This window comes from Homo sapiens, chromosome 7 (assembly GCF_000001405.40).
Source record: "Homo sapiens chromosome 7, GRCh38.p14 Primary Assembly".
Taxonomy (NCBI): Eukaryota; Metazoa; Chordata; class Mammalia; order Primates; family Hominidae; genus Homo; species Homo sapiens.
In genome coordinates, this window is record NC_000007.14 from 117,491,506 (window position 1) to 117,505,538 (window position 14,033).

A 14,033-nucleotide genomic window follows, 5' to 3' on the forward strand; every position below is an offset into this window, starting at 1 on the left:
AGGTTTTTCTTCTAAGGGCCATGAGGAAGAGTCTATTCCATGCCTTTCCCCTACCTTCTGGTGGTTTGCTAGAAATCCTTGGCATTCCTTGACTTACAGAGGCATCACCCTGATCTCTGTTTTCATCTTCACATGGCATTCTCCCTGTGAGCCTGTCTCTGTGTCCAAACTTCTTTACTATTAATATAAGGACACCAGTCATATTGGATTAGGGTCTACTTTAGTGACCTCATTGGAATGTTATTACCTCTGTAAAGATCCTATCTCTAAATAAGGTCACATCCTTAGGTACCGGGGGTTAGGACTCAAACATACCTTTTTTTGGGGAAACACAATTCAACCTATAACAATTGATAACACTCTTTAGGAGCAGAATGCGATATGGAAGTAATTTGAGACCATAAAGTATATACATGTAGGGAGTTAATCTATGAAACCTATTGAAAGCCATATATACCTCATGTATAGTGGTCCATAAATAGCATGGAGACATTGCAGAGGATGTTAAGTGATATGATACAGGAACAATCCAAGAAGGTCATAAGAAAAAGGACCTTTTGCTCTTGAGAGGACTGAAGAATGACTTTCCATTTATGAAATTTTGGTACATGTCCACTAAAAATAGGATGAAGGCCAAACTTAGGAAGAATATTTTGATAATGGAGAAGGTTGCATATAAAAACATTTTATTGAGGACAATTAAATAATGTTGGCTGGAAGTTTTAGGATGATCATCTTTAGGACTCAGAAAAAGAGAAGAAACATTATTAAAGAATTGTCCCTGAACAAGTATAGGCACCCTCACATTTGCATTGCATTTACTATAGAATTGAAAAATGTTTTGACCTTTTTTTTTTGGCTTTTAATATATTTGACCAAGAGTAACAGCTAAGCAATACCTATTTGCAATCAGTGTCATCATGTGGGCTCCAAACATATCATGTTTGTGTAATTAATTGATTGACCCATTAATTTGTTCAATTTCTGCTCTGTTCCAGGCACTGAACAACATGATGGAGATAAAAGATAAATATTACACCTGCCTTGTCCTCAAGAAGTTAGTCTTCTGAGGGAAAGAAATTAGCAAACAAATTGTAATCTCAGTTATGTGCCATGTTCCATGCTGGGCACAGGGGATACAGTAGTTTAAAAAAAACACAAGATCTATAAGGTGTTTCTTCTTGTGGACCTTACAGTCTAGGGTGCTTGGAAACATGGGGCGTTGGCAGACAAGTAAATACACATTTTGTGGTAAAGGCTCAGGTAGAAGAAGTACAGGATAGAATAGAGCACACCATGGGGAATTAATCTAGACTTCAGAGAGGCTCACACATACATAATTTATGTGTGACTATTTCAATGCATTTGAGGTTTCTTGGAAATAGAGGTTAGGTTTTATTTTAAGGAAGTTACCATTTTTTTTTTCAGTGTGATGTGGTTGAACCAAAGAATGCCATGCCCAGTGATGGTAATAGGATAATCTTTTTAAAAATTAAGAGCCACCTAATAAATCAATAGTTTCATTCAGCGGGAGCTCCTGCAGAGTTCAAAAAGAAGAGAATCTGGCACAGCGTTTCCTTTAAAGTTCATTTTCCTAGAGTGTGAATGGAAGCAAGAGATTATAACATTTTGAGGTCAAAAAAATTCTGAAATGCCTATAAAAATTATTTTCTCCAAATTATCATCATTTGTGCTTTTAATGACCTGATTGCAAAGATGAACATTTTGAATTCTTAAATTGCTTATTAGGATTGGTTAATGAATCAATTATCTATTACTGTATGTTTTGCTATTGGAAAAAATAGCAACTTAAGTGTTTTGCAGACCTTTACTTAGGTATATGTTGCTTTTATGAAAAAAAAGATGTAAATATTAAGTAAAAGGGATTTAAAGCAAGGCTTTTGAGGTAGAGTCTTATTAATTCCTTGGTAAACCTTGAGCCAATTGTTGTCTATGTTCTCTGCCTCTGTCTTGCTCCTTCCTTCTGGGATTCACTGTGGGAATGCGGGATTGTTAATCTGGGGATGCTGTCCAATCCTGCCTCTCTCAAGCTTTGCTATTGATCTCCCTCCCAGTGATAATAAAGCTTGAAGAAAATGAAAGTAGCGTTAGTATTGGTCCTCAAACTCAAGAACAGGATGAAACTTAAATCTTGAGTCATACAATTGTGTCTACATACTGCTCCCCAAAAAGAGAAGTAAAGAAGATGCTAACTTTCCCTTTTAATTTGCAGTACTTAGCAATTTGTTTTCTTGAGGGTTAAGTAATAACAGTGGAAGAAAAAAGGGTTAAAATGCCACCAAGAACCCAATTCCATGTTTAGTTTGAAAGTGGGAAATCAGCTGCCACTGGGAAGTCTGAATCCAATGCCATGATGTTCTTTGAATCCTTCTGAGAAATAATCATGTGTAGCCATAACATACCTGTATAACAGAGCAGAGAACATAAACAAATGAAGGTGAAGGGAAGATTAAGACAGAAGAGAAAAATTCCAGAATCGACTGATCATTTTTATCTGTTTAGATGATTTCAGGCAGAATCCTAGAGACCAACTTTATCACAACTGAATTTTAAAAATCACCAGCTTTGTCATTGTGATGCAGCATCAGTTTCAGTATTATCCTTGGAGTATTAATTCTTAATCATCTTCATCTTAGAACATTTTTGAGGTCACTTCTAGTCTCTATTTCACCAGTGAAGAAACAAAAATCCCCAAACTATATCAGGTGGAATTACACAGTATTTTTTTTTTAATTTTGGGGAAAGTCGATTCAAGGCAGTAACTTGCAAGCTAGTGTTAGAAAGGATTTAATAAATAGTGGTTTTTCTGTACACATAGTGAGAGGTCATTACATCATTTGGTTGTTGAAAGTCATAAGGATGTCTAGCATGCGCTTTGCCTGTAGTGGTTCATGCCAGGCAGATTCCTGACTCCTATAACCCAGAGCTTATCAGAGCATTTATGTCCCCAAAGAGAAATGTCACCTCCATCTTTCAATAAACACTTTAGCAAAGAAAAATCAAGTACTTTAATTCCAAATCTTGAGTTAATTCCAGAATAACAATGATGGCTCGGAAAAATATGGGTATTTCTGTCAAAGGACAGAGAAACCTAGTAGAGAGTATTTACTTTGGGTCCTAGTGATGGTATCTGAACAAGCTAGGTGAACAAAGAGCCTCAATAAGGGATTTTGAGGTCTAGAAAAAGAGAGGAAATACCAAATAAATGGAATAATTATAAAATAAATACCAGCAAAGTTAAATCAATATATCATGTGGGAGATATCCTTATATCACTCATGTGATTTCTATTTTGTTCCTATATTAGGCCAAGGAGAGGTGGAACTTGTTTTCCTTTTTCCCTCTCAGCTACGAATGGACATACTTAAAACTGTTTCTCTGCTTCTGTTCTCTAAAATGTGATTGTCTAACAGTAACCGTGATGACGTTTTGACAGTTGCACAAGTTTCTTTCTTTAAGCTTTAAAAATGCCAGCCAGTAACCCAGTGGCATTTCTACTATAAAATCTTAAGGCCAATCCATTTCCCCTTTTCCTTATTTTCTTGGTTTCAAATATATTTTTATTGCCAATGGAAATAAAAATCCTAAATTAGAGAGCAATGGCATCCCTTGTCTTGTGAATAAAGAGCTCCTAAATGTGAACTTATACAGGATGCAGCAATTTATAGGGTAGTTAATCATTCTTCTTTCTAGCCAGTTGTTCCAGCTACAGTTTTGTGGCTCTTGTTAGTGGCTTCATTCCCAGATAGAATAAAAATCAAACCAAAATCCTGGAAAGGCACTCTGAGGATGCTTCTCTAAAGTAGATGGGCATCAACTATAAATCACAATGCTTTGTTTCCTCTGTTATGTTTCAAGATGGGTGGGATTTTTTTTGTAGCATTACTTATTATTGCCTCTCAAGTGCTTGAGTCTTTGAAATCCAAGTCATGTGAGTGAATTAGATACAGCTGTTAGAAGTGGCCTTTCAATGCCAATGGTACACATTCCTTGGTTTCTTTACGATACTATTGCTCTTACAACTTTTATCTGAAGTCATAAATTCATAGTTGTCCCAGAAGTTAAGTTCCTTGCTTCTAGAGGACAGAAAACAAACAATTTACACAACTCATGGTGCATGTCACCAGTCCTTAGATCTCATGAAATATGCATGAAATCTTAAATCACTTGCTGTAGCCACCCAGCCATTGACATATTTGAAAGACTTTAGTGTATCAAAGTCACTATAATGAAAATTTTGATTTCACCAGTTCTAGGAGTGAAAAATCAAATGTTTAGTAAAACTTTCTAAAATTAACACTGACAGTTGATTTCTGTATACTGTTGTTCTTAATAATAGCTTTATTGAGATATAATTCATATTCAAAACAACTTACCCATTTAAAGCATACAATCCAATGATTTTTTAGTATCTTCAAAGAGTTGCCTATCACCATAACCAATTTTAGAACACTTTCATCACTGTAAAAAGAAACTCCATTCCTATTAGCAGTCATTCCTTATTCCAAATCCCCCTGCTCGCCCTAGACAACTACAAATGTACTTTCCATCTCTATAGATTTGCCTGTTCTGGAAATTTTATGTAAATAGAACAAAGTGTTCTTTTGTGACTGGCTTATTTCACTTAGCATTTTTTTTCAAAGATTCATCCCTGTTGTAGCGTGTATCAGTGCATCATTCTTTTTTATTTTTTTAGAGACAGGGCCTTGCTCTGTTGCCCAGGTTGGAATGTGCAGTGGCATGATCATGGGTCACTATAGCTTTGAAGTCATAGGCGAAAGCGGTCCTCCCACCTCAGTCTCCCGAGTAGCTGAGACTACAGGCTTGCACCACATGACTGTCTAATTTATAATTTTCTTTAGAGACAGGGTCTTGTTATGTTGTCTAGGCTGCTCTCAAACTCCAGGGCTCAAGTGGTCCTCCTCCCACAGCATCCTAAAGTGCTGGGATTATAGGTGTGAGCCACAGCACCTGGCTTGCATCATTCTTTTTATTGTTGAATAATATCCCACTTGTAAGAATATGTATTTTATTTATCCTTTCCCCAGTTAATAGATATTTCGATTGTTCCTAATTCTTGTCTATTATAAATAATGGTGCTATGAACATTTGTGTACAAGTTTTTGTGCAGACATCCATTTTCCTTTCTTTTGGGCATATACCTACGAGTGTAATGGATGGGCCATATAGTAACTTTATGTTTAATATTTTGAGGATTTTTCAAACTGTTTTCCAAAGTGGCTGCATCATTTTAAATTCCTTCCACCATTGTGTGAGTGTTTCAATTTCTCCACATATTTGCAACACTTACTATTATCTACTCTTAAAAATTACAGCCATCCTACTGGGCATGAAGTGGTATTTCATTGTGAGTTTTTTTTTTCTTTTTCTTTTTTTCTTTTTTTGCTAATGTTTGTGGATTTTCTTTTCATTTTCTTGATGGTGTCCTTTGAAGCACAAAAGTATTTAATTTTGATAATTTCCAATTTATTTTTTGTTATTGCTGTTTGTGCTTCTGGTGTTGTATCTAAGTGTATGCTACTTTAAAAAATTAGTTGTAATATGGCAAATTGGATACATGTGTAGGCTTTGGTGTCACAATCCTAATTTTAAAATTCTGACTCTGCCCTTGACAAATTAACTAATTAAGCTTCCTTAGCCTCAGTTTCTCAACTGTAAGTTGGAGATATTACCAAGACCTACCTCTTGAATTGTTGTGGGGATCAGATGAAATAATGTATGTGAAATATTTAGAATTATGCAAGTCTGTGGTAATGAATACTAATGTTAGCTATCATTATTGTTATAATCCCAATAATAAATTCTGGTGCTTTGAAAATTAAACCAAAGCCAAGCAGTTGATATGAAGAAGCATGTAATAATGTACAGACATAATGCTTTATAGACAACATTGAATTTGGCTCTCATGAACATCAGGAATAGTGGTCATGGTAGTTATTATCTCCAGCAGGAACTGTAGCTGAGAGATCTTCAGAGCTTTTTCCAAGGCGATATCACTGGGAAATAATAGAGACAAGGTTACAAGCTAGGGCTGTGTTTTCTTCTTAAAATCTTTAGTTCAGTTTTTTTCAATAACAGATTTGTAGTAGGCATCAGGTGACTGGGGATTCGTATTCTTCAAGTTGAAATATTACCTTGTTGAGAAAGAAACCATGTGTGAGACAACCATGTTGAGAAAGAAAAAGTGATTTTATAGAAAATTAATATTGATAGTGAGCATTATATGAAAATCATGAAGTTAGAACATATTTGGCCAGAAAATTTACATTAATAGTTACCCATAGCAATTAATGCATTATAATTACACATACCTTTTCTTTAATGAAAAAGAATTCTTTCCTTCCAAAGTTATGCATGCTATTGTTAAACATTAGAGAATATAGAGAAGCAAAAAAGAAAATATCTTTTTTGATATTTTCTTAACATACGTCTGTTCCTAATAATGTTTATAGTTTAGAAGCATTGCATGAAATGGGTAGATCAATTTTCTATTTAATGTTTGGATTCATTAGGTACGAAGTTAGCAAATTAATTTCCATTAGGGTGCCTGTATGGTTGTAAATCCTGGACCTGCAGAAGATTTTTCAGTATTGGTTTGTAGTCTTTTGTTTAGCAGCAAATAATTAGTTCTCCAGAGCTTCTGAAATTAATTGACCACTTTAATGGTGTTTACCTACCTAGAGAAAGAAAAAGAACTTCTCCAAGTCCCTTGGTAAAATTAAGCCTCATGAACAATTAACTCAAATATACACAAGGCTTGTCTTTAGCGAGCATATACTCCCTAAAGTTGATTAAGCTGACCAAGTGATTACTGCTTATAAATTCACCATTTTATGGAGAAGAAGCAAACACTGCTAAATACCTTGTGGAATCAGAGGAGGGGAAATTAGTAACTTGACCCCAATACTGCGATTTTAAATTGAATTCTTGAAGCCTACAAGTTTTACACAGGACTTTAGAGAGCTGGATAGTATCACTTTGTCAAGTCCTACTTTTACTATGATTCTTTGAGAAAAATACATCTGACTAAATAACTCTGAATCTAAATTGGATAAAATAAATGTGACATTCAAAATGTTATTTATGATTTTAGAAAAATATCCTTATAGACACTAGATGAGTTTTAGTCTCAAATCAATCCTCCCTATCATAGTCACTTATCAAAATAACTAAAGCAAAGTGGTAGAGCTGTGCTCTAGAAGTTTGGGATTTATGATCACAATCTTTTCCAATGAGTCCCCTCTTTCCTCTGCCTGTCTTCAACATTTGTTTTTTTTTTTTTTTGGTTAGGACTATCCAGATTGTGTGGCCTATTTCAAACTCATGGCAAATACATTGGATGATCAGAAATTTTCTAATGTATTTGAATTTGTCTACACAAACTAGAGTAATTGCTATTAATTCCTCAAGTGTTAATTATTTCATGCAAAAAGGAAAAAGGCTATTAGTCTTTAAGTGTATTAGTATGTCAATATTTGGGAGAAGTGTCATGCAATTAGTGGTTTGAATTTCCTATTTTATTTTATTGCATTTTATTTTATTTGCCTAGTCAAATAAAAAGTAATGTTAAATACATGGAAGCATGATTGTTTTCTACACTAAAAATCATTTTGACTTGAAAAGATCTGATATCCATGACCTTCATCTGAAGTTTTGGCAGATGAAAATGTCAGATGCGTCTTTTGGATTAATAAAAGGCAAAAGTCAGATCGAAAAATGAGTATAAGCTTTAATTATATGACTTTAGGAGGATATGTTATGAAAATCAAAGCTTTAATAGTGATTATAATTGGCAAGTTCTTTTTTTATAAGGAATTACAAGTCACTCTATACAAAAATTGGAATTTTTGTCCTAAGAAATGAAATTTACTATAGTTTCATCTGTGTGTGTGTGTGTGTGTGTGTGTGTGTGTGTTTAAAAAATCAAGTGATAGGGCTTTTCCTCAATAAAATCTGAAATCTCTTATAGTTAAGTGAACAGAACAGTGTATCTAGGATGCTAGACTTTTTTTTCAAAGTTAGTTTAAAACTTATACATAGTAAAATCTGTATGCCTTAGGGATCTCTGTTTGCTATCCCATAGTGAATGATTAATTAGTTTCTGTTAGAAATAGTCAGAACTAGGCTGGGTGTGGTGGTGGCTCATGCCTGTAATTCCAGGACTTTGGGAGGCCAAGGCAGGAGGATCTCTTAAGCCCAGGAATTTGCAACCAGCTTGGGCAGGCTGGTGAGATCCTATCTCTACAAAAACAAACAAACAAACAAAGGACAATAAGAAAGAAAGAAATAGCCAGAGCTTTGAACAAAATTTCTAAGTAGACCAATGTAAAAGTCTGTCGTCAATATGTAGTGGCTATGAATGGAGGTTATGAATGAAAGAGAAGGATAAGATGAACTAGAGGTGAGAGGGGAAGACAGCAGGCCCAAGTGAAAGGCAGAGCCGAGTTTATTGCTTTTTGGTTATTCCAGGTGTGTCTGCTTTGTCTCATGAAACACCTGGATGATCACTGATTTCTAGTGGAAGAAATGCTGAAAAGTCCTTACTGTGCATTTAAACATTCTAGGTTTAATATACTCAGGGTTTTTCAAAAGAAAGGGTGGCTGGAGTTTTGCACTAACTAATATTTCATAAAGTGTCTAAGTATAGATGTCTGGTTTTTTTTTGTATTTCTAAGACTGGCTTGAGGTAGGCATGGAGAATTCTTTGATGGGACATAATTTTCTTCCTTTCTTTTTTTTTTTTTTTTTTTTTTTTTGAGACGGAGTTTTGCTCTTGTTGCCCAGGCTGGAGTGCAATGGCACAATCTCGGCTCACTGCAACCTCCGCCTCCCAGGTTCAAGCAATTCTCCCACCTCAGCCTCCCGCGTAGCTGGGATTACAGGCATGTGCCCCCATGCCTGGCTAATTTTTTTTGTATTTTTAGTAGAGATGGGGTTTCTCCATGTTGGTCAGGCTGGTCTCGAACTCCTTACCTCAGGTGATCCACCCACCTCGGCCTCCCAAAGTGCTGGGATTACAGGCGTGAGCCACCGCGCCTGGCCTGATGGGACATATTTTTCATTCAATTTTATTGATTTAACCTCACAAAATAAAATATTTCCTTAAGATGACTCTGTGGTCATTGTTGGGCAGCATAAGCTTAATGGATTTTAGTTATCATAATTTACCTTAAACCCAATTTGTATTTCAGGATATAAATAGAGGTTTATTGTAGTGAATCTTCCAGGAAATACTAAGTGATACTAATAATTATAGATGGTGAACTTAAGTCTTTATATTACTGAATTTGTTTGGTTTGATGATGCTAGGCTATGGCATTCTTGCTAATCAAAACGATGTGTCATGGTGTAACATAACTTATTAAAATGGGCACAGATAACACAGGAAGCTTTTTATAAAAGCAGCTCACAAATTGTGTTACTTTGAACTGAACTGGCCATTTATGGGAAAGGTCACTGGGTTGTAAATAAGGACCAAAAGAGTTACGTTTATATTTTTTAAAAGAGATTGAGGAGATTTATTTTTACATTTCTTGAAAATGCCTTATTTTGGTATGGTATTGACAGATAGTGAAATTCTGCTCATTTGTAAATATAGTGTCATATTTTAATAATTTCAAACATATTGAAAATGCAGAATTTATTAATAGTGGGAGCACATTTTCCTTTTTACTAAATGTTCTACAGGTTCTTTTCTTTCCATCCACACACAGTGCCATTACCCTCATTCTAAGCCTTTCAAACATCTGGCAGTAAGTGATCTGCTGCACTTAGCTCTTTCCAGCTGAGCTGATTTTTAAATTTTCAGAAAATTTGTGAGCTAATTGTTAAACATGGCCATTATTAAAAATTAAATTATTTCAACTTATAATTAAATAAATTATATTAAAACAAAAGTATTAAAAACTCAAAAGTTGGCTGGGCGCACTGGCTCACGTCTGTAATCCCAGCACTTTGGGAGACCGAGGCAGGTGGATTGCCTGAAGTCAGGGGTTCGAGACCAACCTGACCAACATGGAGAAACCCTGTCTCTACTAAAAATATAAAAAAATAGCCGGGCATGGTGGTGCATGCCTGTAATCCCAGCTACTCAGGAGGCTGAGGCAGGAGAATTGCTTGAACCCAGGAGGTGGAGGTTGTGGTGAGCTGAGATTGCGCCATTGCGCTCCAGCCTGGGCAACAAGAGTGAAACTCTGTCTCAAAAAAAAAAAAAAAAAAAAAAAAGAAACAAAAAAAAAAAAAAAACAAAAAGCAAACAAACAAAAAAACAAAAATTATCACTTCCTAATTATTTTGCATTTTACTATTATCTATGCTATTAACGTTATTTGCCTTCATTGTATTTGAAAGGTGGACTATATTCTATTGCACTTTCATTGTACTATATTCTAATATGCAACTGTGTATCCCTTCCCAACTCTGTGTTCAATGACTTTATATTTGGTTGCTTTAAAATGATGACGATGAGAGTATTTATATCATAGAAATTGGCAAATGCCGTAAGTCAGTTTTTGTTTTTGTTTTTGTTTTCCGGAGAGGGGATTGTTAAATATTTGCCTGCATGCAACACCACTACATGCAGTCTGCTATCTTTTGTTCTTCCTGCTTTCAGGCTCCTCTCCCAGCTGTCTGTCTAGCACAACCCAGCATACCAAATTTTCTTAAATAGGGAAAGTTGAACATGGTAAAAGAATGAATGAAGTCAAAAGAATGTGGAAAGACCTAGGCTTTGCCATTTAGTAAAGTTTAGCATCTCTAAGCCTCCATCTCTTTATCAATAAAATTGAGCAATGATCCCTTTTAGTTCTACCCATTTAAGAAGATTTTCAAATGAAAACCACAACCTGCTCATGTTTATGAAGGCACTTTGGAAAGCGCTAAATACACGGGTTTTTATTAGTAGTAAACACTTACTTCACCTTTTTCACTTCTTGACTTTAGTTTACAAGGGCTCATAATCTAAATTATATCATAAATTGCTGTCCCAGATTTTTTTACAGCCTAATTGCCACCTGTATGTTCGACTTTCCTTCTGTTCTTTATGTTAGATACTGGGATAGTATGCACCAGGTGGGTGTGCCATCACTTTCTCAGATGATGTCCACTGAAGACCTTGCATGATCATGGCATTCATTTTCCTGCTGTATTCAGACTGGCCTCAACTATTTTCTTTATTGCTCTCCAGGAAAAATTACAAATGAATCAGACTGGGCAATGAAGGGTAAACCTAATTATCGCTCTTTGTTAAAGACAGCTCTTGTTAAAATGCGGATATTGCAAATTAATGGAAAAAATATGACATAGTAAACCATACTCACTTATTAATATCTTAGTAAGGAATAATTGATGAAGTTACTTAACCTTAGAGCCCTAATTCAGTTAAGTTTTAATGAAGGACAAGTTGTAGAGATATCGAGAACCCAGGGCAGGTGCCTACTGAAGAAGTTCCAGACCAAGGAAGTATAAAGAAGGACCTGGGTGGGAGCAGTGAGATTGGATATGAGGGCCACTGGCAAAGTTTTGCCCCAGAACAGTGTCAAAATGTTTGCATTTGGCATAGCCCTTTCTCTTTTTGTTCTGAATGGCTTTGCTAGAATATCTTTTCTATAATGAATTTATCCTGCTTCTCAGATATTGCTAAAGCACTCCCTTTTGAATTTTGGTGCTTTAACATGCATTTTGATACATTACCAAATAAGGTCTGAATGACACAAATTTTAGAACTCTCCAGAGAAAAGAAAGATGCTGAGGGAAAAAGCATAGGTTTGGGACTCACTAAATCCCAGTTCAATTCCTTTCTTTAATAAATATATTCAATTTTACCTGAGAAAGCTCTCGTGCTCTCGAATTTTATTTAGAAATTTCTCTTTGTACATGATTGATTTCACAATCCTTCTTCTGCCTCCTCTTCTACTTTCTTCTTTCTAGATTTTCCTATCTTTATGAAGATTATTCTGCCTTATCCTCAACAGTTAGAAACAATATTTTTGAAAATCACTACGGTATCCTGCATAGTGATTTCCCATGCCAACTTTACTAATTTCCATTATAAATTATTATTTATTGATGCCTAGAGGGCAGATGAGTGTAGCTGCTATGGAGTGAGGAGACAAAACATAAGAAAGTTATGATCCTACCCTCAGGTAATGATTCAGACATGATAATTAAGTCAACAAATTGATAGAAACTAATCACTAACTCTCTGGCTATAGTCATTCTTTCAATGAATAGCTCATTACTGAGTATGCATGCTACAGTAACAAAATTATATAAGGCTGTTGATTAAATGTTGATTAAGTGCATGTCTTATTCAGAGTTTTTTTATATTTGAAATGGAAGAGGCTGGACTTCAGTAATTTGCTATAAACTGCTAGTATATGATTATTTGGGGGCAGTTATTTTTTAAAGAATAATTTAAATATGGAATGTTTAGCAGTTTGTTTTTTCCCTGGGAAAAACCATACTATTATTCCCTCCCAATCCCTTTGACAAAGTGACAGTCACATTAGTTCAGAGATATTGATGTTTTATACAGGTGTAGCCTGTAAGAGATGAAGCCTGGTATTTATAGAAATTGACTTATTTTATTCTCATATTTACATGTGCATAATTTTCCATATGCCAGAAAAGTTGAATAGTATCAGATTCCAAATCTGTATGGAGACCAAATCAAGTGAATATCTGTTCCTCCTCTCTTTATTTTAGCTGGACCAGACCAATTTTGAGGAAAGGATACAGACAGCGCCTGGAATTGTCAGACATATACCAAATCCCTTCTGTTGATTCTGCTGACAATCTATCTGAAAAATTGGAAAGGTATGTTCATGTACATTGTTTAGTTGAAGAGAGAAATTCATATTATTAATTATTTAGAGAAGAGAAAGCAAACATATTATAAGTTTAATTCTTATATTTAAAAATAGGAGCCAAGTATGGTGGCTAATGCCTGTAATCCCAACTATTTGGGAGGCCAAGATGAGAGGATTGCTTGAGACCAGGAGTTTGATACCAGCCTGGGCAACATAGCAAGATGTTATCTCTACACAAAATAAAAAAGTTAGCTGGGAATGGTAGTGCATGCTTGTATTCCCAGCTACTCAGGAGGCTGAAGCAGGAGGGTTACTTGAGCCCAGGAGTTTGAGGTTGCAGTGAGCTATGATTGTGCCACTGCACTCCAGCTTGGGTGACACAGCAAAACCCTCTCTCTCTAAAAAAAAAAAAAAAAAGGAACATCTCATTTTCACACTGAAATGTTGACTGAAATCATTAAACAATAAAATCATAAAAGAAAAATAATCAGTTTCCTAAGAAATGATTTTTTTTCCTGAAAAATACACATTTGGTTTCAGAGAATTTGTCTTATTAGAGACCATGAGATGGATTTTGTGAAAACTAAAGTAACACCATTATGAAGTAAATCGTGTATATTTGCTTTCAAAACCTTTATATTTGAATACAAATGTACTCCCTGGGAAGTCTTAAGGTAATGGCTACTGGTTATCAAACAAATGTAAAAATTGTATATTTTTGAGTACCTGTTACATGCCAGGTAGAATATCTCCTCTCAGCCACTCTGAGTGGAAAGCATCATTATCTCTATTTTACAGAAAAGCAAACTGAGGCTCAGAGAGATAATATACTTTGCCAGTTAATGAATGATGGAGCCATGATTCCAGCTGAGGTCTGTATTGCCTTGCTCTCTAGGAATGGTAGTCCCCCCCATAAAGAATCTCTCAGTTTCCTTTCCAATCAAAAGGTTAGGATCCTTTTGATTGCCAGTGACAGAAACCCAATTTACTAGCTTAAGTAAATAAAAGGAACGAATTTATTGGCTCATGAAGCCTGAACTATGTGAAGACCTAGGTGGAGAACTGGCCTTAGGAACTCAATGGGACCAAGGACTCAAATGCCACCTGGTGGCATTTGCCTTATGCTGGTTTTATTTTCTCAGACCGGACCAGCTTTCTACATAAAGTGGGTCCCTGGTTAGA

General features: G+C 35.4%; 1 protein-coding gene across 1 annotated transcript in view, besides 3 other annotated features; it reads left to right on the forward strand.

Moving 5' to 3' along the window:
- Positions 1–898: part of a biological region, named in NCBI's record as "CFTR intron 1 enhancer", that runs on past the window's edge. NCBI's record gives its function as "regulatory_interactions: CFTR | LOC111674463 | LOC111674470 | LOC111674473 | LOC111674475".
- The window catches only part of CFTR (CF transmembrane conductance regulator), a 188,641-nt gene that overhangs the window by 11,481 nt on the left and 163,127 nt on the right, over positions 1–14,033 (forward strand). The window contains exon 2 of the mRNA NM_000492.4: positions 12,748–12,858. Within this exon, the coding sequence (NP_000483.3) occupies positions 12,748–12,858 (111 nt within the window). The remainder of the gene's footprint in view (positions 1–12,747; positions 12,859–14,033) is intronic.
- Positions 324–898: a DNaseI hypersensitive site, noted in NCBI's record as "185 + 12 kb DHS observed in select cell types; the nucleotide coordinates are approximate for this feature". NCBI's record gives the evidence for it as "EXISTENCE:in vivo cleavage assay evidence [ECO:0001075][PMID:8626632, PMID:17848139]".
- Positions 602–620: a protein binding site, noted in NCBI's record as "probe that binds Tcf4 in association with beta-catenin". NCBI's record gives the evidence for it as "EXISTENCE:protein binding evidence [ECO:0000024][PMID:17848139]".